The 26,694-nt window shown below is 43.8% G+C and overlaps 1 long non-coding RNA gene across 1 annotated transcript; it reads left to right on the top strand.

Annotated features, from left to right (window-relative positions):
- Positions 1-1,980: 1,980 nt before the first annotated feature.
- On the top strand, positions 1,981-17,983 carry LOC107985443 (uncharacterized). The gene is made up of 3 exons (XR_001737803.1): positions 1,981-2,078; positions 16,351-16,576; positions 17,947-17,983. It is a non-coding gene; the product is annotated as an uncharacterized LOC107985443 (long non-coding RNA).
- Positions 17,984-26,694: the final 8,711 nt, after the last annotated feature.

Genomic DNA, 26,694 nt, shown 5'->3' with positions numbered 1-26,694 from the left:
ATCCAGGTTTTAGGGGTATAACAGTGAACAAAGCAGACAAAAGACCCTGCCTCATGGAGTTTACACTCTAGACAGCAAACGAAAGGTACACTACATAGCGTATCAGATGGTGGCAAGTGTTACAGAGACAATGAGGCAAGGAAAGGGGGCATGGGGCAAAAAGCAATTTTAAACCGGATGATCAGGGAAAGCCTCATCGAGAAGGTGACATTTGTGCAAAAATCTTGGGATATGAGAGAGCAGCCAGACACATATCTGAAGTAGAACATACCTGGTGTGTTCTAGGTCAGCCAGAAGTCACTATGGAAAGAGCAGAGTGAGAAGGCAGAGAGAACTAGGATGAGATGGAGAAAGAAACAGAGACCCAGATTATACAGGCTCTTACGAGCTTTTGGAAAGACGTGGGCTTTTATTCTGATGAAGATGGGAAGGAGTGACATTATCTGATTTGCATTTTAGCAGATTGCCCTGGTTACTGTTTGAGAATAAATGCAGAGAGTCAACGGTGGGATTAAAGAGACTAGTTTGGAGGAAAAAGTCCAGGAGAGAGATGATGGTGGCCTGGACCAGATGATTGTAGCAATGGAGGTGTTGAGAAGTGACTGGATTTTGGATGTATTATGAAGGTGGAAGAGACAACATTTGCTAATAGATTAGATGTAGAGTGAAAGGGAAAGATTCCTCAAGGGTGATACCAAGGTTTTGAACCTTAGCAATGGTAAGAATATCGTTGCCACTAACTGATATGAGGAAGGCAGTGGTGGCAACGTGGGTCTGGGAAAGAGGATAGGAAGTTTAATTTTGATTAAGTTTGATTAATATGATATCTATCTGCCTATCAATTTATAATTTATCTATCTATATATCTCAAGTTCAAGGAAGAGATTCATATTTACAAAGGAAAAGAGAGCAGAGAATGGAACCCTGGGGATTAGAGCAGGTTATAATCAGCGGAAGGAGACAGCAACTGTGCGGCCTGTGAGATAGCAGGAAACCAGGATTGTATAGACTCCTGAGAGTCAAGTGAAGGAAACATTTCAAGAAGTGTCAGTTATTTCAGCTGCATCAAAGGCTGCTGAGAGGTTGAGCAAGATGAGGAGTGAGAATTGATCATTGGACTAGTAACATGGAGGTCAGTGATGAGCTTGATAAGAACAATTTCAATGGACCGGGGTAGGGTGACAGCTGACTACTAAGGTTTAAAGAAAACAGGAGGAAATGTAATCAGTGAATATAGACAATTCTTTTGAGTTTGTTGCAAAAGTGGGTGTAGAAAGGAGGAAGTGTAGCTGGAGGGGGCTGTCACTCAAGAGATAATTTTTTTTTTTTTTTTTGAGACAGAGTCTCACACTGTTGTCCAGGCTGGAGCACAATGGCACGATCTTGGCTCACTGCAACCTCGGCCTCCCAGGTTCAAGCAATTCTCCTGCCTCAGCCTCTCGAGTAGCTGGGATTACAGGCACCCACCACCAGGTCTGGCTAATTTTTTTTTTTTTTTTTTTTTTTTGGTATTTTTAGTAGAGACGGGGTTTCACTATGTTGGCCAGTCTGGTCTCGAACTCCTGACCTCTTGATCTGCCCACCTCAGCTTCCCAAAGTGCTGGGATTACAGGCGTGAGCCACCATGCCCAGCTGAGAATTTTTTTAAATGTGGGCAGTATTATAGCATGTTTATATGCTGATGGGATGATCCAATAGCGAGGGAAATTGAAGATGTGAGATAGAGAGGGAAGACTTGTGGAGAAATGTTGAGTAGGCAAAAGGAGATTGGACTTGCAGCATGAGTGCAGAGGCTGGCCTTAGAGAGGAGCACAGGTGAGTCATCTGTAACAATACCAGGGGAAGCCAAATTTACAGGCACAGATGCAGGTAGGAGGTAGAAGCAATAGTGGGAGAGTATGGAAGATGTCTTCTCATTGTTTTCATTTTCTCAATGAAATAGGAAGAAAGACCATGGGCTGAAAGTGAGAGGAGGGGAAAAGCATTGGAGCTATGAGAAGAGACATCCCTCCCAAGGCTATTGTGAGCCTTGTGACACAAGTCCAAGACCTTGCACATAAGAGGAGGTACTTAGAAATGTGAGTGCCTTTCCCTCTAATTGAAAGAAATTATACTACTGTCTTTGTCATTGTTGTTCACAGGAATGTTTTATTTATTTCTTTGTTTATTTTTTGAGACAGGGTCTCACTCTGTCACCCGGGCTGAAGTGCAGTAGCACGATCACAGCTCACTGCCTCCTCAAACTCCTAGACTCAAGTGATTCTCCTGCCTCAGCTTCCTGGATAGCTAGGACTACAGGCATGCGCCACATGCCCAGATAATTTTAAAATTTTTTGTACGAATGGGGTCTCAGCTGTGTTGCCCAGGCTGATCTTGAACTCCTGGCCTCAAAGCAATCCTTCTGTTTTGGCCTCCCAAAGTGCTTGGATTACAGGCATGAGGCACCATATCCAGCCTCAGCCTTATTTCTTAAATTATATATGTTGTTTTTATTATTTATCATTATAATATTTATTTCCCAGTATATAAAACTATGGAAAATGCAGAAAAACATAAAGAAAAAATCACTTATGCCATTTCCACAAAGGAAACGGCTATTAAGTTTGATGTATATCCTTTCAGCCCCTTTTTCTATAAATATACATTATATATATACTTTTAAAAATATTTCCTTTTTAACTTTACATTGTATTTGACTATTTTCCCACCTCATTAGGTAGTGTCCAAAAATACGATTTTTAATGTCAACACAGTATTTCATTATTTAGAAGGTACATTTATTTTAGACTTTTCTATTTTGAACATCGAAGTTAATACCAATTTTTCACATGTATAATTAACACTGCAATGGACATCCTTACAGAAATCTTTGTACTCTAATGAGTTTTTAAAAATAAACTCGTAGAAATGGAATCACTGAGCCAAAGGGTAGAGGCTTTTGAGGCTTTAAGGCTCTTGATAAGTGTTACCAAACTGCCTCCCTTCCAATGTGTGCTTCTCCCCGCAGCATGAGAGTGCCCCGACATGATCATTTTAAAGAACTTCACCAAGTCAGTGTCAATTATTGTTTTAATTTGTATTTCCTTGACGACATGAATGTAAACTTTTTTCCATATGTTTACTTCATTTGCGTTTCTCTGGAATGCCTCTCTGCCAGGGAGCTTGGCTTGAAGAAAAGCCTCTCAGTGGAAATGCTTTTGAACCTGCTGGATTTGTCTGGGCTGAGCCCTTCTGGGACATTCCCCTGCACAAGGACCCCAGCTCCAGAAAGCATGTGTGAAGGACTGTGACAAAATCCTTTGGCTAGATGACTCCTTTCCTTGTTCTTCAGGAGCCTCCTCCAGCCCCTTCTTGCCCCTAGATGGCACCTCCATATCAGGGTGACTTCAGTTACTTCTGTTTGGAATGCCAAACCCTGGAGACCAAAAGTCCTTTTCAGTATTCCACAAAGAGGATTTCATCTCATCTGCGACCTGGAAACAGGAGGTGTCAGGGGAGCACGGATGAATCTACAAAGGGGCCGTGTGCTGTTGTCTCCTCTACCTTGCTGCGTAGGGCCTGAGCCTCCACTGGTTTCAAAATTAAATATTCCTTCTCACTCAATGGAAGGAAACTGAAACCACTGCATCGTTAGCACTGGGTTTGTAAAAATGCTTCTCCCCGGAGTATCTTTAACATTCATTTTATTTTGTTGAAACCCAGCTTGTCCTTTTTTATCCAGAGCAGCAGAGACCTTCTGAGCAGAGGCTTTAGCCAAAAAAGGAAGATATTCTGGCAAATTTCTAGAGATAGAAAAATTCCCTTTTCAAGCAGCTTATTTTGTTAGAGATGCTTTCATTCTTGCTCTGCCTCTTTTCACACACGCACATGCACACATATACACAGGCACCACCATCACCACCATCACTACCACCGCATTCATTCCTCCACACTCACCACACCACACTACAAAACACACATTACACAACATGCACATGCTCATCCATAGAACCCAGACCCCACTGTACATGCACACACCATACAAACACAGCACACTTGACCTGCACAACACAGCACATTTGTACATCACACACTGTACCACACATACACACATATACCCCTCACACTCAGACCACACCGCACTGCACATGAGCACACACACACCATACTCACACAAAAAACACACTTGACCTACACAGCAACTCATACCACATCTCACACACAACACACGTGCACACACACAGACACCATCACACACTTGACCTGCATAGCACACCCACATGACATCACACACACACCGTATTACTCATAGACACACTCGCCTCATCACTACCACATCCATAGCCCCCACCACATACTCACATCCCTTCTCCCCCAGCCTCTCCCCCATCCCAGCCTTCCACTCTTGCGCTTTAAAAAACAGATGTGGTTCTGTGACTTCCCTGAAAACGAAAGGGATGTACACTGCCCTGGCTATTTTTCCTGTCCCAACAGGCACTGAAGTAGCCCAGATGTCTTTCTTCCTGCTTGTGAACGGTGGGGGGAAGAGGCAGAATATGCACAAGCCAGGGTTCTGGGATGGATCAGAGCATTAATTAAAAATTAGTGAGTCGTTCGTGAGGCAATCACTTTAGGCCAGAGCAAGCCTTGGACTGAGACCTTCTCCCTGCTTGCTCATTAAGATGGCTCATGGAACTGGCAATCTGGAATAAATTGAGTCCAGGGCAGATGGTCAGAGCTAGACAATAAGAACTTCGAAGCATCCACCCTTCTAATTTTCCTCCACATTCCTCATTTAATGATAAAGAAATTTAAAAAATAAAGTCTCAGAGGGGAGGGATGAAGGAGCTCCAACCATCCAGCTCTGCTAATTAGAAAGAGCAAATCTAATCAAGGTTGATCATCAACTTTACAAATTATCTGTAGTCAAATTTTTATGCCGCAGTAGTTTCTCCATTCCCACCCCTCCTTCAGAGTCACTCTCCTCTCCCACCTAGCCAGAGTAGTCTCGGAGATCATGGATATTTTTAATACCTGTCTGGAAAAACATAACTCAGAAAGCAATTCTGCTGCAAACTCTCCCAGTTAGGCCATCCACAGCCAAGTCCAAGTGACTCCCTGAGCACCTGTGCATTGGTGCTATCCATCCCACTCTGTCCTTCCATCAGCTTGGATGCTTGAAAACTATTCCCTCTTGCCTAGAGGTGTCAAGTTTGAGTTGTTTGAGTTACTAATACTCAGCTATTTCAACCATTGAAACATTGCCAAGTGGCAGTAAAGGTGGTAGATCACAGTGGTTAAGATCTTGGGCTCCTGATTCAGTCTATGTTTGGATCCTGGCTAGAACACTGGGCCTATCGACCCTGAGCCTAAGGTCTCTCATGTATAAAATGGATAGTAGGATTCACTTCATAGAGAAGGTGGAGAGGAGTAAATGAGGTGATGCACAGTGCCTGGCGCATAGCGAGGCTGCAATAAATGGCAGCTACTATTATTATGAAGGCCTCCAAAATACCTGATGGATGAGTTCATTGTTCTAGAACGTTTTGTTGCCCTGATAGTGCCCTGCAACCGGAAACACAGAGGGGAGATTTTAGCAGCATATTTTCAAAAAGATGAACTGCTGTTTCTGAATTGTAGTGAGAAAACAGCAGGCTAGTTGAGAGTTTTACTCCACTTGTTCTCAGCATCAGTGATGGGGGTCATCATAATGAGTGACCACGTTGTAATCATGTCCTTGCCCTTCCCATAGTCACCCTCATGAAACCCCCTTGTCTATTTCGCTTGTTCACCCATCTGGAAAGAGGTCTCCTTCTCCTTTGTATGAAATTGGCAAGTTATTATTAGAGTAATAATACCTGTTATTACCAGCCAATCTCTCTTTCAATAGTAAATTATTATTATACACTTGGCTAAAAAAGCCTGTGCTGTTGTAATTTGTAAAGGCCAGATTAAGCAGAACAATAAAATTCGAAGTAATAATAATGACATCTTGCATTTCCACGGTACATTTATTTTTCAAGTACATAGTATGTCAGCAAGCTGCTCTCTGACCTCCCCTGGCCAAGAAATCCTGGCGTGGTGCCTTTTATTCTGTTTGGAACCCTAAGTTTTCAGGTCACATGTCCCCTTGGAAATCTCTGTGCACTGCATCCTCAGGCTCCGGTGACAGCTGTGCCAGGCAGAGCCAGACCTGGTGGGAGGAGGTGTAGGGGGAACTGTTTTTCTGCAAACAGGCACCCCTGACCCCAAAGAAGCAGCTTCTTTATTGTGGCCATTTATTATTTACAAAGCACTGCAGGTGTACACGCACTTTATGAGACACAAAGACAAGGTCCCTGCCCTGTGTACTGAAAGGTTTTATCCTGCATTTCATCTGTCTGAGCTGAGGGATGGGAATGCAAGGCAAGCGGGCGGAAGATCCAAGAGCGATGTCTGGGACATCAGAGTGGAAGGAAGGATTTCTAACGAGGAATTTTAAATGGGGAAAGTCAGAGCAGGTGTGTGCAACTCGCAGCATCATTCCAGGATCCAGAGGAATCTTAGTGATATCCTGTGTTCCAGCCCAGGGAAGACAAATTCTGCCCCGGTGCCTTTGAACAGTTGGACTGGAATAAGGCCAAAGACTAGGAAGAGACAACAAATGCTCTCCCAAGAGCCTCTTAAGCAGCATGTACCTCCCCTTCCCCAACTTTCCTGAAAGTTATCTTGTTTTCTTTTGTGTGGGGGAGTGACGGAGGTAGGGAGGACCATTAGTCAGTCTTTTTTTTTTTTAATTATTATTAATTTACTGTGTAGCTTTAAGCAGATTTGTTTTCCTTCTCAAGTAGGGTAAATTTCAGGCTTTTTCGACCCCTAATATTTAGCTACCCCCTACCACTGGGCAATTACTCTTCTTCTATCTGTATCTGTCTCAGCCAGGCCAGCCCTAATGGTGCTTCCCAATCCCTGTACGTTACAATCACCTACCTGCCTCATTCTTCCACCTACTGAGAGGCAGGCCCTGGCCTGAAAAGATAAACAAGGTCCTTGTCCCCCAGAAGCAATAGAGAAATGGAAATGAGGATGTGAAGGGCCTCACAGGGAGGCTGGGGCCAATGCTGCCCTCTCCTGCAGGAGGAGATAGGTGGTTTGGTGATATGAGCACAGATTCCTTCAGGACTTTCAGTCATTCACTTGGAATGTTCTTGGGTTCCCACCATCTAGAACAAGGGCTGAAATTCTAGGAAGGCTTAGAAATCCAGCCTTGCCCCCAGGATCGGCAAAAACTGATCACGTCCTTGGCGTGGGATTCTTCCTGCTCAGAGCTCAGGGCTTAGTCTAATACCAGGCAAGTTCTGCAGCCAGAAACAGATATAAATTTGGCTGAGTAGCATGAGTGAAAATAAAATAGATTCTGTAATGTACCAAATATGCACCAGATGGCTCTACTTCCTACCAGCCCTGTAAAGCTGGTTAACAAAGCCTACTGCCCTCCTTCATCGCCATAATGATCTTCATCATCTCTTATTAAAGCCCTCTGGTACATGGTGTTCTGCAGAGTCCTCCAAGTCTGGATATCAAGCTGAGAATATCTCCTGCCTCCCTGCTCTTTGCTTCCCAATTGTGTCTATGGTCTGGGTCATCATTTCCTCCATAATCCTCTCTCCTCTTGCCTGACTCCATTTCCCACCACTGTCACCTGTTTTATCTCCATCCCTTCCACTTTCCAAGCCAGTGACTCTCAAAGTCTGGCCCTCACACCGCCTGCATCAGAATCATCTGGGGAGTGTGTTAATGGTGCAAATTTTTGGGAACCCTTCCACCCCTATGCTAATTCAGAGTGCCTAATAGCAGTCTGCGGGCATTTGCATTTTAACAAGTTCCCTGCTATGGAGTTTGAGAAATGCCATCCTATACGCTTTCTTTCCAACAAGAGTCAAAGACTTAGTCTTCCAGCGTCCCAGTGTAGAGTGGTACAGACCAGAAGTCAGCCCTAGAAGGGACACCAACAGTGATGTACCAGAGCTGGCTTGTACCTGATTGCAAAAGTACAAATTTCAGGAAATTAGAAAGCTGGTTGTTAAACCATTGGTAGCTTGAAAGTTAGCCACGGAAGGAATATTTATACCACAGACATTATCAAACACTATTAATCAAGGCTTTCACTTCTTTTTTTCACTGGAAACATTTCAATGATTATTGTTGAGCACACACTTTGGAAATTTTTTACTTCAAATGACAACAAGTTAAATAAGTGTTTGTAATATACAAAGAAAATACAACCAAAAGTAAAACTTGCTTTAAGTGTGCCTTGTGCTGAGACCGGTGTTCTCCCCCCTTAATATATCTTTATTTTTGAGCTACACAAACACACTTAAGACTTTGATCTTCATAGTATGGCATTTAGGAAATAAAAATATACTCCCACCTTAAAGAAATAAAAATGTTGTGCATGATTATATGCCAAACAAAAGAGAGAATGCTAGAATACTCCGATGGTGCAGGCATCATTAAAAAGGAAAAGAAAAAGCTTGAGATGCTCATTAATTCTCTACTTTTTAAGGAAGCAGATTTTTGACCAAGTTGCTTAAAAGCCAGCAAAATGCTTTCTTTCTTTCTTTTTTTTTTTTTTTAAAGAAACAGTTTACCAGCACCCCACTGGACACCAAGTATCATCCAACCCCACACTGTGATTTGCAGATGAGAGCACTGAGGCCTGGAGAGGTGAAGGAACCCATTTGAGGTCTTGTGACAAGTGAGAATAAAGTCACAGCTAGAATGATCCCTGTTCCAGTGTGCATGACAGCCCCATTCCTTTTTCATAAGTGCTTTGCACCTGTTGGGAGGTTGGTTTGGAGGAATTCTTATACACAGTTGACTTAAGTGCCTGTTACTCTGTGAGTCGGGGTTGATTGCAAACCACAGATTCTGACTCCCCCAAGCAGAAAAAAATTCAGTTAAGAGTCTCACTGAGTTCACAGAGTAGAAGAGAAAGCTAGAAACCAGACTTAAAGAATAATTGAGCTAGGGCAGCTCAGGATTCCATGGGGCAGGAATTAAGGGGTGGTTTCCTTAGGGAGATGCTGCTGGGTTGAACCAACTCCAAACTCTTCTTTCCAGCCTTGCTTCACTCAGCTCAAAATAAGAAGTCCTTGAAGAGAATCTGAATGCTCTTGGGTCCCATGCTCACCTCTTAGCCAGGGCCAGACAGGTCACATTGATTAACACCCCCAAGACTGCACAGAATGGGTGAGAGGGGATTCCCCGAGTAGAAATCCTGCTCCATTACAATGAGAAGAGGAAATTGAAGCAGCTAGCCAAAAAACTACAACGGCCGTCTATGTGCTTCAACACAACAATGAGCTCCAGGGAACTTGGATCAGGATCTCCACCCTCTTACCCCTAATACCCAGTGTTACGCTTTATGGCCTGGGCACATCCTGCCTTTGTTTGCTGCTGGGATTGGGAAACCTGACTTGGGCTTTCTAATGCTTAACTGTAAGGGTTCCCAGTCATCTTCTGTTCACCCTCTGTGGCCTCTCTTATTGTACCGACTACCATCTAAAGCTAATGATCCCCAACTCCGTTCCAGACCCATAGTTTGGGTTTCCCAGTGGGCAGAGCAATTTCCCAGGTTCAACTTTCCCTTCCTTCCTGCTGCCACTGCCTTAATTCAGGTTTGCGTCATTCTCACTTGGTCTTTCACACCAGCCTCTGGACCCTGTCTCCATCTTCATTTTCTTTCCTATCCAATCCACCCTCTACATAGCACCAGGTAATCTCTTAAAAACAAAAAGATCACATTACTCTCATCCTTCAATGACATCCAATGACCATAAAAGGCTTTTGTGATCTGATCTTGACCTGTCACTCTCAGCCTATCTGCTCCTCGCTACTGACACTCAGCCTTTGCCTTTACCACATGGAGCCACTCCGCAGACCTACCAAGCCTTTCCCACTCTCATCCCTTTTCACATGCTTTTCCTCTGTGTGCAGGGCCCTTCCTCAGAAACTTTCCCCAGAAAGTTCTCAAGCATCCCTTATGATCCAGAGAATAAGATAGTAAATGCGGGCTGAATGATAACACTTTAGGTGGGTGGGACAGGTGGAGACTCCCTTGGCGAAGTTTTCTCTGACCTGCTGTGTTAGGTTTTATTTCTCTGTCCTCTGTGTTTTCACAACTCTGTTCATAAAGTTCATAAAGCCCATATTCCATTCTAATATATGCATTTGCATGTATTTTTCACCTCATCATGGACACTTATCAATGTTTTGGCCACCCAGAACCTTTTCACATCTTCCTTATGTTTGGGGAATTCTGTTTTATGAATCCCCACATCCTAACTTAGAAGGCAGGTACTCACTCTCCCACCTTCCTTGCAGCTAGGGCACAGCTGCATCAGAAGGACTCTGAATCAGAAGCTAGCACTGCAAAGCAGCGAGAACTGGGAGGAGTATGTTCTGGCTAAGATGGCTTGTATCTTCCTCAATTTCAGAAGATGCTGATGAAAGCATCTGAGGTCCCACACAGGCAGGGTCACCAAGCTGTGTGTCTGTGCTGACAGGGGGGCCAGCATAGTCTCTTCTAGACTATTCTGCAAAGTGTTTTGAGGCATTATTCCTAGCTTCATAGCTTCCCGGAGTTTTTGTGACCTAATATTCTTTAGTAAATTCTCTTTCTGTTTAGAGTAGCCAGACACGGTTTCTGATATTTGCAACTAGGAATCTTTGAGTCTGAAAGACCTTCAAGGGTAGGGCCCACAGCTTGTTTATTTCTTTATTCCCCACACAGTGCATGGCACTGAGAAGCTTCTCTCCACGTGTTTGCTGAATGAATAAATGAGGTTGCTTATCAGCAGTGCTTGACTTGACTTTAAGAGCTGCAGGCTGGAGTTTAAGGGCTGACCATAATGCCTATGTTACTTGTGTCAGAAATCTGAGTCCTACATCTCATTTCAAGGGGCTCAGGAATGTTCCAAGAGAAATATTAAGCAATCTTGAAGATCATTTTAATTTTTATGTATAACTCCTTTTCTGCTTGACTTTTCCATAAGGCTCTTATACTTGGAATTTCGTTTCATTTCATTTTTTAAACACCACTATGTTTCTGCCTTCTTTCTCTTTCTTCCCCACACAGATTAATGAAAGGATTAAATGAATTTCACTGCCCCAAATGTAAAACCATTTCTCAGACAGAGTGTGGGCTGCCTGTGTGCCATCTCCTCATGAGGCCCTGGAAATGATTTCCTTTCTTTGCTAGTAGCAGAGCAGAATGGTGAAGGCCTTTGATTTCATAAGGTATTTGGTAGAGTCTCACCTTACTTCCTCGAGGACAAGACAGAAAATTGTGGCCTGAATGATAATGCATTAGGTGGATGGGAATGGTGGGAATTCCTAGGCGTCCACCAAAATCTCCTCCCCTTCTTCTGTAGGAATGGCAGTGGAGCTGGCCCCTGGCAGCTAAGCTGCCCTGCCTTTCCCACTTTCCCTATGGTGTGGCGCACCTTTGTGTCTAAGTTCTCCCCCATGTGCTTGTGAGCAGAAGTGATCCATGCCCCTGGCAGGCCAGCACATATATCTCCTCCACTTGCTCCTCTACACTCTTCTCCCGCTTCCTACTGGTGGGAATGGTGACCAGCAGAACCACTCAGAAAGCCACATGCTGAAGACAGAAGAGCTGCCATCAGCCTGGGTGCCTGGCTAATGGTGGGAGGATGGACTTCTGCCAAAGTGGGGCCTCTCCAGACTTTCATGTGAGAGAAACATAAACCTGTATACCAGTTAAGCCCCAGAGGTGCTACTGAACTTACTTACTAAACATACTTTCCTTTAATGCACGGAGTTAACTGGTGTAACAGCCAAATCCAAAGAATAGTGGCCAATACTTCAACATCAGCCTGGAAGGGGAACACTAGCAGCCTGCCATGGGGCTCTGTCTTTGATGCTGACACAGGTTATTTAAGCAACAACTCAGACGAGGCTGTGGAAGAGGTACTTCTCAGATTTAAAAATGACACAATGCTGAGAGGGATAGCTGGTCAAATTTTAAAAGATCTCAACAAGCTAAAAATAACAAGTGATATTTTCTAAGCATTTAATGTAAGCCAGGCTCTGGGTTAAATGCTTTCCATACATGATCTTGTTTAATACTTATGATGATCCTATGATGTAAATATGTTATCTCCCTTTCCATGATGGGAAAACAGAAACATCAAGAGATTAAGTAACAAACTGGTAAATGATAGCACTGGGATTTGAACCCAGACTCTGTGGTCCTAACCACTTTGCTTAGGGTGGTCCTGGGTCTAGGTTTGTTTGGACAGCCCTGGTTGTGTCTGTTGTCTCAAAGTGATTGTTGATAGTATTAATAGCACCTGTTTTCAATCTTAAAACTGTCACAATTTGTATGACAAATTATATGATCACTAGTGATTCTGCCCAGTCTAAACCCTGTAAGATAACATTCAAGACAAATCTCTATGAAGCTCCATATATCAAATGTTCAAATATGGAAAATCCAGTGGAAGGGGTTTATTTTCTCTAAGATTGCATTGAGCTAATAGTATGATGAGACTTTAAAAATGGCACTGGGAATTTACATATCATCATTAACAGGTGTGGTGAGCCCAGAACCAGGTACAGATGGTTCTATTGTGCTTGGTGCTGGACAGGCTACAGCTAGACTGTTGAGATCCTTTCAAGGAACCATATTTTCAGAGAGGTGAACAATCACAAATGGAGCACATTCAGGGGATGATGTGCTGGTGCAATATCAGGAAACCAAGTCATATGAGGACTGGGTAAGGGCACAAGGGATTCTTTGCCTGGAGCCAAGCAGACGTTAGGGACATGTGAGCTGTCCTCATATATCCCAATGGCTGCCATGTGGGGGAGGGATCAGGCTGATGCCAGGGACTCCAGATGGCAGATCCAGGACTAGGTGGAATGACAAGGAAGCAGATTCCAGCTCAATTTCAGGAAGAACTTTCTAACAATCTGAGCTGTCTGACAATGTGCCCGACTTGCAAAGGATGGAGCAGCCGGTCCGTGGTTGTATTCAAGCCAAAGCAGGCTAGACCTCAGTCAGAGACGTAGTAGTGGTGGCACCTGCCCTAGGAACGGAGTTGAGCTAAATGACCTCTATGTTTCTTTCTCAAATTCTGTTATTCCAATAACAGTGATAAAATCAGATTGTGGGCACAAGAGAGGGCACAGAATTTATTCAGTGTGTGAGTGGAAGAACCAATTACAGCCTAGATTTTTTAAAAAGCAAGTAGACGGCGCGCTAAATCTGTGCTTTGAGTGGCCCCATGGTCTGTAACAGGCTCCGAGTTAACATGGCCTGCTGAGGCAGGCTGGGGACTTGAATGAAGCTGGTTAGGGATGATTCTGTAAGTAGGACCAGGAGGTAGGGATTGCATCTCAGCAGCCAGATAGAAGAGCTCCTGGGTCTTCAGGGCCCAGGGGAGCTGAGAGAGGGATCCCTGATGTACTGTTGTGTAGGAACTGGGAGAAAGAAGTAGAACCACCATTGTAGCACCTGCCTAGAAAGAGCCAAGTGCTTATATTGCCCTCCCTGCTGGAGTTGCTAGTCCCCTGATTTCTTACCTAGAGCAAAGAAACTTATATTCACTCACAGCTAGGTGCCAGTCACTGTGCTGAGGGCTGAGGATTCAGTGGTGAATAAGGCAGAATTTAAGGTGTTTTCTTCATTGCAAGTAACGACAACAACAAGCAAACCCAATCTCATTTAAGTATAAAGGTAATTGATTGATCCATGTAATTGACAAATCTAGAGGTAGCTCTAGTTTCAGGCAATGCTTGATCCAGTGCCTCAAATAATGTGACCAGGACTCTGTTTCTTTGTCTCCATTTCTTAGTTCTGCATGACTCCCTTGCAGGCCAGATTCCACCACCCCAACCCTCACCTCCATTGGTGAAGATGTTAAGCCCCTGAGTTGTTACTGAACTTACTTACTGAATACCCTTTCCTTTAATGCACAGGGTTAACTGGTGTAACAGCCAGATCCAAAGAATAGTGGCCACTATTGCAACATCAACCTGAAAGGGGAACACTAGCAGGATGCCACAGGGCTCTGTCTTTGATGCTGACACAGGTTATTTAAGCATAACTGGAAGAAACCTTGGCTTTCTTCCAGTATCCCAAGAGGCTACATGTGCGGCAGGGGAGAAAGAATCCAGTGCTCATCTTTCCAGGCAGAGCCCTGAGGTGCAGCCTGATTGGCCTGGCCTGAGTCACATGTCAATCCTGAGCCACTGTGACAGGGAGAATGGAGGTAGGGTATGCCCATTAACTTAAGCTCTGCAGATGGAGTTGGACGTTAGCGTCAGTCGCACACAAACCACATGGCTGAAATAAAAAGGAAGGGAAATTTAGTAAACTCTTTCCAGAGGAGAGGAGGTAAATGCCGGGCTACAGATACCCAACATGCATGGTTCCTGATCTCAGGGCGCCTCTATGAAAGTACAGGTAATTATGAAGGCAAGCTGGTGTTCTCCTGTTATACAGGAAGTCCTGGGTGCCAGTGGAGCAGGGAAGTACCTAACCCACACAGGGGATAGTTAGGGAAGCCTTCCCTAGGTCAGGAAGTGACATTTACAGAGACCTGAGCATTAATAGGATTTAACTAGCTGATCAGAGGGAAAGAATCTTCTTGGTAGAGGCACAAGCATGAGCTAAGCCCGTAGGTGAGAGAGCATGACAAATTCAGGGACTGAAGGGAATTCAGTGTGGCAGGAGCGAGGAATACTGGGAGGCAGGTGCTCCAGATGGGTGATATTGCTGTCAACTGCGCTGACAAGGGAGAGGAGGCTGATTGGGAGCTGGAGCCTCATTTGTCCATGAGCCTGCAGCCAGTGGCAGCAATGGGGCTGAAAGCTCTGACTGGGGGAGCAGCCTTGACTCGTCCTCTCACTGTCCCTCAGAGGAGGGAGGAGGACAAAGTGTGGGTGAGCATGGGTGAGAAGGGCAGAAACCTGGGCTGCTCAAGTCTCAGCAGGGTCTCTGGGTAGCCTCAAGCTAAATGTCACAGTTTTGCCTAAAGGTGGCTTGAGATGAAAGGTTCTGTTAAATTGTAGACTACTGTAGAGGTAGGCGCTGCATTAATACTTGTCACTAGATCTTGAAGTGTGAGACAGGATCGCTATCCTAGCCTGTACGTGAGGATTTCCTAGGCAACAGTTTTAGAAATAGTCTTATGGTGACTATGACACTACGGTGGTGAGGCCCGTGCCCCGCGGGTGCTCCTGTGCACAGCCTGCGCGGACAGCCGCTGTCTGGGTTGCTTTATTGCTGGGGAGACAGTGTGGGCTGCAGGGTCAGGAAACTGTGGGCTTAAATCTCAGCTCTTCCATTTGTTGTGTGAGCTCGTGTGGGTTTCCTGGTCTTACCAAGCCTGGTTTTCCTCCCCTGTAAGATGAGGATAATGATAGTACCCACCTCGTGGGATCTTTGTAAGGATTACATGAAATTATGTTTGTAAACTGCCTAGGATATAATAAGCCCCCCAAGTGGAAAATACTATTATTACTGTGTTACAGATGACTTCATCTTTACGTACATCCAAATGCTGTTCAGTCACTCGCTTATTCTGGTGACATCCACTGAGACTCTTTTAAGTCCCAGGCACTGGGAATAGAGCAGTGGACAAAATAGACAAAAGTCCCTCCCCTTGTCAACCTTACCTTCTAGTCAGGGAGGAGGACAAGCAGCAAACAAACAAATAATAGACCATTTCAGATAGGGATAAGTGGTATGAGGAAAATAAAGTAGAATAAGTGGAGAGGGCTGAAGTACAGGTGGACAGAAAAAGGCCCGTGGAGGAGGTGAGAGCTGAGCAGACCTGAGTGATGGGGAAGGAGGGCCAAGTGGGAGCAGTGCACAGGGCAGGAAGAGATTCAGCATATTTGTGCAAGAGCAAGAAGGTTCCTGCGGCCAGAGTGGCGTGAGTCAAGTGGATGGTGGAATAAGCGGCAGGAGAGTGAGGCCGCAGCCAGCTAGTGAGCTGCAGGTGTCACTCTAAGGTGTGATAGAGGGTTTGGAGAGGGAAGTGATATGCTCTCGCTTATATTTTGTGAGGACTACTCTGGCTGTTATGGGGAAAATTAACAAGGGAATGTCATCCAGGTGCATATGAAGGATGTACATGCCTTTGTTCTACTCTTGGGGAGAGAGTCAACCTCCAAATGGTCTCAACCATCCTCACCTCCTGGAATTCACACCTTTCTGTAACCCCCTCCCTTCGAGTGTGGGCTGGATCTAATGAGTTGCTTCCATCCAATTTAATATGGTAAAAATGATGGATGTCACTCCTAAGATCAGATTATTGAAAGTCTGACTTCTGCCTTGCTGGGTTTCTCTGTTATCAGCTGCCCCATGGAGAGGTCCAAGCTGCAAGAAACTGATACCTTCACCTAACAGCCGGTGAGGACCTGAGGTCTGTCAACAGCCACCTGCGTGATCTCGGAGGCAGATCCTCTTCTAGCTGAGCCTGGGGATGACTGCAGTCCTGGCCAACGCCCTCATGACAGCCTTGTGTGAGAGACCCCGGGCCAAAGGGATGCAGATAAGCCACACTTGGATTCCTGACTCACCGTGAGACAACGTTTTGTTGTTTTAAGCCACTAAGTTTTGGGGTCATTTGTTCCATAGCAGCTGATAACTAATACACTTGATAAGAGTTAGTAAAAATATAAACCCTGTGTAGCCAGTCAGAAGCTTGAGAATTACAAAAAGATCACTGCATTTTCTCCTTAGACATGTCAAGTCTCACTCACCTCCTTCAGATCTTTAACCAGAATTCATCTTCTCATCAAGGGCTTTCTTGGCCACCCATTATGAAATGGCAAACCATTTGACAGTTTCTTTCTTCAGTTTAACGTTTGTTAAGCATACACTTATGATTGGACCCAGGAATCTCAATTCCAGATATTTACTGAAGAGAAATATAAACGTATTTTTTACACACTCCTGAGCCTTCCAAGTAGCTGAGACCACAGGATGTTCACCACCACACCCTCCACACTCTCCTGCTTTATTTTTCTCTTTAACACTTGCCACCATCTAGTATACCATATATCTTATTTACTTTTTTGTTTTTGAGTCAAGGTCTTGCTCTGTCACCCAGGCTGGAGTGCAGTAGCGTGATCTCAGCTCACTGCAGCCTCTACCTCCTGGGCTCAAGGCTCCAACCCCAGCCTCTGGAGTAACTGGGACTATAGGCATGTGCCACCATGCTATTTTTTTTTTTTTTACATGTATAGCATTTTAACTTTTTTATTTTTATTTTTATTATTTTTATTTATTTTCATAGATCTTTGGGGAACAGATGGTGTTTGGTTACGTGATTAAGTTCTTTAGTTGTGATTTGTGAGATTTTGGTGCACCCATTATCCAAGCAGTGTACACTGTACCCAATTTGTAGTCTTTTATCCCTCACCTCCTTCTCACCCTTTCCCCCAAGTCCCTAAAGTCCATTGTATCATTCTTATACCTCTGCATCCTCATAGCTTAGCTCCCACTTATGAGTGAGAACATACGACGTTTGGTTTCCCATTCCTGAGTTACTTCACTTAGAATAATGGTCTCCAATTCCATCCAGATTGCTGCCAATGCCATTATCTCATTCCTTTTTATTCCTTTTATGCCATTATCTCATTCCTTTATTATATATAATTATATATGTAAATATATAATTATATATATTTATATAATTATATATGTAAATATATAATTATATATATTTATATAACTATATATTATATAATTATATAATCACATATATATTTATATAATTATATATAATATATAATATATAATTACATATATATTTATATATATATACACACATACACACACACACGCCACGGAATACTATATATATATGTACACACACACACACACACACACACACACATCACAATTTCTTTTTTTTTTTTGAGACGGAGTCTCACCCTGTCTCCCAGGCTGGAGTGCAATGGCGTGATCTCGGCTCACTTCAACCTCTGCCTCCCAGGTTCAAACGATTCTCCTGCCTCAGCCTCCTGAGTAGCTGGGATTACAGGCGTGTGCCACTACACACAGGTAATTTTTGTATTTTTAGTAGAGACAGGGTTTCACCACGTTGGCCAGGCTGGTCTCGAACTCCTGACCTCATGATCCGCCCGCCTTGGCCTCCCAAAGTGCTGGGATTACAGGTGTGAGCCACCGCGCCAGGCCATACCACAATTTCTTATCCACTCATTGATTGAAGGGCGTTTGGGCTGGTTTCATATTTTTGCAATTGCGAATTGTGCTGCTATAAACATGCGTGTGCAAGTATCTTTTTTGTATAATGACTTCTTTTCCACTAGGTAGATACCCAGTAGTGGATGCTGGATGAAATGATAGTTCTACTTTTACTTCTTTAAGGAAACTTCACACTGTTTTCCATAGTTGTACTAGTTGACATTCCCACCAGCAGTGTAATAGTGTTCCCTTTTCACCACATCCCCACCAACATCTATTTTTTTTTATTATGGCCATTCTTGCAGATGTAAGGTGATATCACATTGTGGTTTTGACTTGCATTTCCCTGATCATTAGTGATGATGGGCATTTTTTCATGTTTGTTGGCCATTTGTGTATCTTCTTTTGAGAATTGTCTATTCATGTCCTTAGCCCATTTTTTGAAGGGATTTTTTTTTTCTTGTTAATTTGTTTGAGCCAGCTGATTTTTATATTTTTTGTAGAGATGAAGTTTCATCTGGTTGCCCAGGTGGGCCTCAAACATCTGGGCTCAAGCAATCTGCCTGCCTCTGCCTCCCAAAGTGCTGGGATTATAGATGTGAGCCATTGCACCCGGCCAATTTACTTATTTTGTTTATTGTCTATCCCTCCCTCACCTCATCCCCTCCAGCAGGGATTTTTGACTGGTTTGATCACCACTGTGTTCCCAGTGCCTAGAATCATGCATCACAGAGTAGGTGCTCAAAAACATTTGTTCCCACATCGACTGCTGTGCCTGAGCAGGCAAGGTAGGAACAAAAGGAAAGATAGAGTTGGCTGAAGACTATATTATTCTGTTCGGCAGTTCTCTACTTACACAGAGAACAAAGAGCATCAATCAAAGTGAACCACAGTGTCTGGGAGGCAGCGAGAATTCCAGAACATAGGATATGAGCAGCAAGAAAGAAAGCGCAAGAGATGAGAGAATGAAAGGGAAGCCGGAAGAAGCAGTATCTGAGGGCAGGTGCTGGCACAATGAACAAAGCTGCCCTTTTGATGCATGTTGGGCTAGTGCATTTAGCCCCCTGGCTACCCTCACTGTGGCTGAATGTGATCAGTCCTTGGAGTTACTCCATGGGATAAGTGGTGTGTTTGTGGTATTATGGCAGCTCATGCATCTTTGAACTGGCTCCTGTGTTCTGTGGTATGTGCTGTATCATCTAAGCCCTCTTCCTCCCTATTTCACATGGAAAAATCAGCTCTTTCTCTCTGAGAAATAATGCAGGGGCAGAGAAGAAAAGAAAAGCGAAGCATCTTCCAATGGAGCTAGAGAGTAAAGCTTTAGATTCTTAATCTTTGGTCTTTGGGGTTTGTTGTTGTTGTTGTTTGAGACAGTTTCACTCTGTTGCCCAGGCTGGAGTGCAGTGGCATGATCTCAACTCACTGCAACCTCTGCCTCCTGGGTTCAAGTGATCCTCACACCTTAGCTTCCCAAGTAGCTGGGACCACAGGCACTCAGCACCACACCTGGCTAGTTTTTTTTTTTAATTTTTTGTAGAGATAGGGTCTCACCATGTCGCCCAGGCTGGTCTTGAATTCCTGGACTCAAGCAATCCTTCTGCCTCAGCCTCCCAAAGTGCTGGGATTACAGGTGTGAGCCACCGTGCCTAGCCTCTCTTTGGTCTTTTTTTTTTAGAGGGAGTCTCGCTCTGTCACCCATGCTGGAGTGTTGTGGTACGATCTCGGCTCACTGCAACCTCCACCTCCTGGGTTCAAGCGATTCTCCTGCCTCAGCTTCCCAATGAGTTGGGATTACAGGTGCCCATCACCACGCCTGGCAAATTTTTGTATTTTAGGGGAGACAGGGTTTCACCATGTTGGTCAGTCTGGTCTTGAACTCCTGACCTCAAATGATCCATCTGCCTCCGTCTCCCAAAGTGCTGGGATTACAGGCGTGAACCATCACGCCTGGCCCTCTTTGGTCTTTTGATTGATCACTGTTGGCTTCCACTTTGGGGATGATCATGCTGACTTTTCCTCCATGAATGATCCTGGTAAACTTTTCTTTGAGCTCTTTAAAAACCAATTTCCCCATCCCACAGCATCTGTTTCAGGGAAGGCTGCTGCCAGCCTATGGAGTGTGTAAATTCAAAAAGGATACTCCTTGTGTGGACACAGCTTCACCAGCACATGGGTTGGTGGGAGCTGTTGCCTTTGTGCAAAGAAAAGGCATTCCTTCCTGCAGGACTGGAATTCAGCCCCACTTGCCTCCTTGGCTGGGCACCTTTGCACAGTGTATAAACTCGTGTCCTTACATAGTGGTCTTCTAGTCAAATTCTTTCTAGTCATCATCTGTAAACATAAAATACCTATAGAGTAAAGCTCTAAAACCTGCCAGGGCCAAAGGTGTATGTTGAATGGGGTTGTGCCAGAAGTTCTAGGATGTATTTCTAGATTTCCAAAGCGAGAAGATGAGATTCACTCCTGAAGTAATTCTTGCTACCAAAAGGAGCCAGTTTCCAGCCCAGCCCACCAGCAGAGGCAATTGAGCAGAGGCAAGCAGATGCTGATGATGGAGGAGATCAGCACATTCCAAGTAGAGAAAGGAGCCATTTTTGGGTTATAAGTAACTGACAGCAGGCATTTTGCAGAGCACTTTGGACGAGGCAACCTCCCTAGACAGCAATTGATGTGGCCTTTGTTATTTAAAAATCTGAACTTTGATAAATTACAGTTGTAGAGATTGAGAATTCTCTGCAATTAGTAACAAGATCCTTGATACAAAAAAAATCCATATGAACCCAGACCAATATGAGCCAAGAATTAGAAAGAATGGAAGATACAGGTCAGCTAGACTTGGGTAACATAAAATCAACACACCCATCAATTCTTTAGTTAGGAAGGCGTGGAGGTCAATATCAGAATTCAGCAGCAATTTTCCAAGTTAACAGTACAGTAGATTTTAGGCAGTCTTCATTACGTAATGTGAGACTCAGCCATTCTCAATTAACCTTTGTCTTATCTTTATTAAAGTCTAAATTAAAGAACAATTCTCAGTATTTTCATAAATGGAATCTGACTGGGAAAAGAGTCCCACCTAACTACTGCTGACAGGAACCCGGTGTCCAGAGTGGGCAGGGCAAATCTCACAGCCTCCCTTAGGGAATGCCGCCTCTGGCAGCCTTCTCCCAGGTCAGAAGGGCTGCACATTAAAGTGACACTATGCATGGCTGCTAGCCAGGCTAGCTTTCTTGTAGCAATCTGTGTGACAGAGTTTCCACCAAGTTGTCTTTTTGTGTACCTCATGGCATCAATAATCCAGCACATTCCTCCTTGTATCTTGCAGCTTGCCTTGGACAATCCCTGGGAGCCCCATTGCTGCTACTGAACCAGCTCCCCATGCAGGTTCATTTTTGCTTTGTCTCACCCCTCTAGTGCCCATGGCAGTTGGGGTGGGAGGAAGGCAAGGACTAATAACATTTAAGTAAAAGCTATTTTGATTCTAAGAAGGGAGAAGGCAGAACGAAATTGCAGCATTTTTTTTTTCTAGTGGTAAAATTTGTCTTCACTGCCTTGCCCATACTTCCTCTAGTCTGCCAGTAACAATCTCTTTTACTCTCATCTCCATGAACTTCCCTTTGACTACCCAAGACCCCTGGCTTTAGCCTGTTTATCTTCATAAGATTCCATGCCTCCAAATTATATCTCATCTTCCTTCCATTTTCTTATGGTAGGTGTGGGGAAAGCAATCTGATTAAACCCAAAACCCTCACCATTGAGATTGGTGAGATTTTGTTTGAATAAGCCATAAGCTCTCTGTCTCTGCCAGCAACATGAAGAGCTTTTGTGACTACTGTGGCACAATTTTTATACGCAGTACAATGTTGGCTATGAAATCTTTGCATTATTTTCTTTTTTGTGTATAATTGAAAATAAGCATTTTTTAAGACTGTAATTTCAGCTGCTGCTCACTCCCTCTTCTCTTCCTCTCCCCTCTTCCTACTTCTGCTGTTCCTTTTTTGAAAGAAATTACTCCATGTAGACTTTTCTTTTGCCATTTATTCTATGTGAGAGGGGTTTTGAGTGGGGCAGAGAGACAGGTGAAGTTTAAGAGAGCAGGCATTTGTCATTACACTGGGTATAGCCATGGGAGATTTTTTTTCTGGTGTGTCCAACCTGGAAAAAGGCTTGAGCATTATTGATTTAAGGGAGGGTTTCTGCCCACAAATACCTCCTCAGTACCACTTTAAATTCCACCAAGTAACTTTTGACTTCCGGACATTCCTAGAATTAGGTTCTGGGACTAATTACTGCCTCTGTGTTCCCTCCCTTTTTTTTCTTTCATCTTAAATGACAATAACTCAGCTCAAGTTTTCTGGTCCTTTCTTTTTTTTTTTCTTTCCTTTCTGTTTTTTTTCCATTTTTGAAATTTGTGGGAAAAAATGCATAACATAAAATTTCCAATCTTAACAATTTTCTGTTGTGCAGTGAATCTGTAGAGATTTTTCATCTTGCAAAACTGAAACTCTACAATCATGGAATGATGCTAATAATTCCTCTTTCCTCACCACCCTCGGTCCCACCCTCTAGCAACCACCATTCTACTTTCTGTTCCTAAGAGTTTGACTACTTGAAATACCTCATATAAGTTGAATCATATAGTATTTTTCTTTCTATAGCTGGATTATTTCACTTGGTATAATGTCCTCAAGGTTCATTCACACTGGAGCGTGTGTCAGAATTTCCTTCCTTTTCAAGGTTGAGTAGTATTTCCTTGTATACACATACCACATTTCTTTATTCTCCCATCGATGACATTTGGGTTGCTTCTACCTCTTGGCTATTGTAACTATGCTGCAGTGAATTTTGGTGTGCAATTAAAATATCCAGAAGGTAAAAAGAACTGAGGATAAAGCTCCACTTTGCCACAATGGAAAAAAAAAATCAGCTGCCTACTCTGTCACTCACTTAGGAATCTACTTGCTAGTATGAAAGTTATTTTGCATAAAATTATCTATTAACTCAAAAAGCTTTCAGCTCTATTTAAAGCTTCACTTTAAAGTTTGACTGTGTTTTTAGTCCTTCAGAAGCTTTTATTATCTGAAAGTATTCAGAAATGTCTCCATTCATTTGAGGTTTCTAGAATATCTTATTCTTGAACAAGGGTATCCTATAATTCACAACAATATGTGAGTGACTGTTGAACACGCTGCCTACCCAGCATTAGCTTTTAAAACCAGTGTATTTTTTACTTGGTGGAATTGGAAGTAGGTATTGAGGAGGTATTTGTGAACAGAAGTCTTCCCTTAAATCAATAATACTCAGCCCTTTTTCCATGTGGGAACACAAGAAAGAAAATCTTCCATGGCTATGCCCAGGGTAATGACAAATGCCTGCTTGCTTTAACTTTACCTCTCTCTCCCACTCAAAAAAGTATAAAAAAGAATACAAGTGAACACAGTGTGTGTTGTTATAGGGATAGCCTTGAATTTTCTCTTGCTTATTTTTATAAAAAGATAAATCATTTGCAAACTCCAGTATTTTAACTATTAACAAAACAAGTTACTTGCAACACACCTCACAAATTATTCACCATGCCATTGTGAGCACACTGTGGTTGAGAACATTTGTCTTAAATGGTGGCATTCAGCCTATTCCACATACCTGTGTATCTAGCCTTGGAAGAGGCAATGAGAGGCGTGATTATGGTTCCCTAGCTCCTTCCTTCCAACTAGGGAGAGGCAGAAGAAGAGAAACAGAGCAGATCGGCAAGCTCCTTTGAGGAGCCAGGGGTCTCGAATGCATTGTTAGGCTGCCTGCAACTTCAGTTATTTTGAGAACCGTAAATGACAAGCCCAAGTATTCAAAGTTGGAGTCATGGGGCTCTTGAGGATGCTGAGACAGTTGAGCTAGCAGAGTGCTGTGGTTAAAACACGCACTTTTGTGTTGGACAAATGTGGCTTCAAGTCCAAGCTCTGTGATTTCCTAGTTTTGTAAACCTTGGTGAGTTATATAACCAGTCTGATCCTCCATTTTCTCATCTGTATAATGGGCTTGAAGACATTCTATTTGAGGAAATCTGATGTTTCATCTAGTGGAATCCCTTCTCTACAACTTTTCCTGTAGGTAACCCATTCCATGGGGTTCAAATGGAGCTGACATCCACTTTATTCTCCCAGTGACAAGGGCGGCATGTGACCCAGGTACATCCAATCAGAGTATTTCATCCCCCAACCACCAAGGCTGATTCAAGAAGGAGCATATGACCCAAATGGGTCAGTCAGTTCTTACTGGTGGGGCTATCAAGAAAGACAGATTCTTTTCTACTAGAGCTGCTAAAATGGGAGCATAGGAGTCTGGGGGTGTGGTTAGCTATCTAACCTACTATGTGAAACAGGCTGTCCAAAGAAGGGAGCCAAGCAGAAATAAGCAGAGGTTAACACAGAAAGAGAGAGCCCTAATGAAGTCATTTGATTTCCTGGTTCTTGCCATGTCTGAAAGCAGATACCTTTCTGGATGTCCCAGCTTTCTGAGCTAATAAATCCCCCCTCCCTTTTTTTAAACTAGTTTCAGCTCCTGACATTTGTCACCTAAAGTCTTGACTAGCATACTCCCTCAAGGTTGTTGGGGGAATAATGCCAGTAAAGGGATTCAAGGTTGAGTCATGGTGTTACATCTCCCTTCCCTAAGACAAAGTTGGGGAAGGCTGGGCCTCAGGCATCCACGCTAAAGTTGGTAGAAGCCAGAAAGCTTCTCCTTCTGGGTGTTGGGCTGGGAGAGAGGGAAAGGCAGAGCCACAGACTCTTTCCCGATCTCCCCTTGCTCCATCAATGTGCATTTGATCCCAGAAACACTTGTTCTGGAGGGCAAAGTACCACTAAGTATAGCTCTTTGAATATACAGGGTTAATTTACTTGCAAGTGTTACTTGATTTTTACATTAAACTCTACTTATGGAACTATTGAATATTAGAGCTGGGAGGTACCCTACAAGAGGAAATGTCTAGATTGAACCCTTCAGTTTCACCCCCTTGTAGACAAAAGGAGCATTGGGTGAATAACCTACTCCAGGCCTTGCAGCCAACTAGCCAAGGCAGGTCTGTATCTAGTCTCCTGATTTCCAGTTCACTTCACCATTCAGCTTCATGGTCAGACTTTGTATTTTTAGCTTAGTCATCTGTCTCACCCTAAGAAAAACCAGAGAAAATCTGGCCAAAATACTTAATCCCCTTCCTTCCTTCCTTCCTTCCTTCCTTCCTTCCTTCCTTCCTTCCTTCCTTCCCTCCTTCCTTCCTAAGCACCTCTCCCATTGTCTAGGCACAGCCTATGAAAATCTCACAATTGGAGATTGTTTCCTTGCTCTTTCCCCACCTTCCTATACTTTTGGGGAAGGATAAAAGATTAAGACACTTAATAAGAATAGGTTTATTAGACATCTTCCCCGAAGATGCCTGGAAGGGAGGTGAGAGGAATGATTCCAAAGAAGGAGAAGGGCAGAGATGGAGAGGGCTCACAGAAGGCACCCATTGTCAGCTTTGCCCCTTGGACAGGCGGAAATCCAGGCACCACCTGTATGACACGCTCTAGGACTCAAGCCCTGGCTGAACCTCTAGCTGTGGCTACTCTACTCTAGCTGGGGAGCTCCTCTATTCAGCAGTGGAATGTCAGTCATCACACTGGGGTGCCTCTCTGAAAGGAATGCACCCTCAAAACAAGCTGGGACTCTTCTCAGCCTCACATCCAGCCTTCTCCTCCCTCTCACAGAACACCCATATGGAACTGCAACCCCTAGGTGTGCTTTACTCACAGGCCAGGCAGAGTGCTGCCCTGTCCTTCTCCTGGGTGTTCTGAGTGCATGGCCAAGTCCCCACCTGATGCATGGTGGATTCTCCTTCCCCTCCCCCTCCTCCAATCTCTGCCTCTCCTCTCTTCTCTGTCCCTTTCTCCCATGGTTCTCTGGCTCAATCTTCTTCTGCTCCTCTCACTTCCCTGGCTTTTTCTCTCTTCTTCTTGGTTTCTCCCTCACTTCTTTTCTTTCCCCTTTTCATTCTTTCTCCCTCTCCTACTCTCCCCTCCTGCTCTCTACCCCTCTTGCTTCTTGTCTTGCTTACCTGGTCTAGTTGGCCCCATTATTCCTGGGAGGTTAAGTCACATGGAGGCCAATGTTCTAAAGTTAGAATTCCCAAAAGGTGATCTAGTGACCAAAATTCCAATAATTGCTAATACAGGTTTCATGTGTTTAAAAAGTTAACAAATCATGAATTATCAAATTTAGTGGGTAAGAATTGAAATTCAAACTTGGATGTGCAAGAACTGTCATATTGCCTTATTTTCTTAAAGTCAAATTGACTGAACCTGAACCTCCAACCCACTGGACTAATGGAAAATCTATCCTCAGCTGTCACTGAGGGTTCCTCTGATCCTGCCCTCCCCCTCCAGGGATATGACAATGTACTGAGGTATGACACAGAGTGGGACCCTCTGGGCTCAGGATAGAGTGGCATCAAC

This window comes from Homo sapiens, chromosome 1 (assembly GCF_000001405.40).
Source record: "Homo sapiens chromosome 1, GRCh38.p14 Primary Assembly".
Classification (NCBI taxonomy): Eukaryota; Metazoa; Chordata; class Mammalia; order Primates; family Hominidae; genus Homo; species Homo sapiens.
Note: the sequence above shows the minus strand (reverse complement) of the source record. Positions and strands in the feature narration are given on the sequence as shown.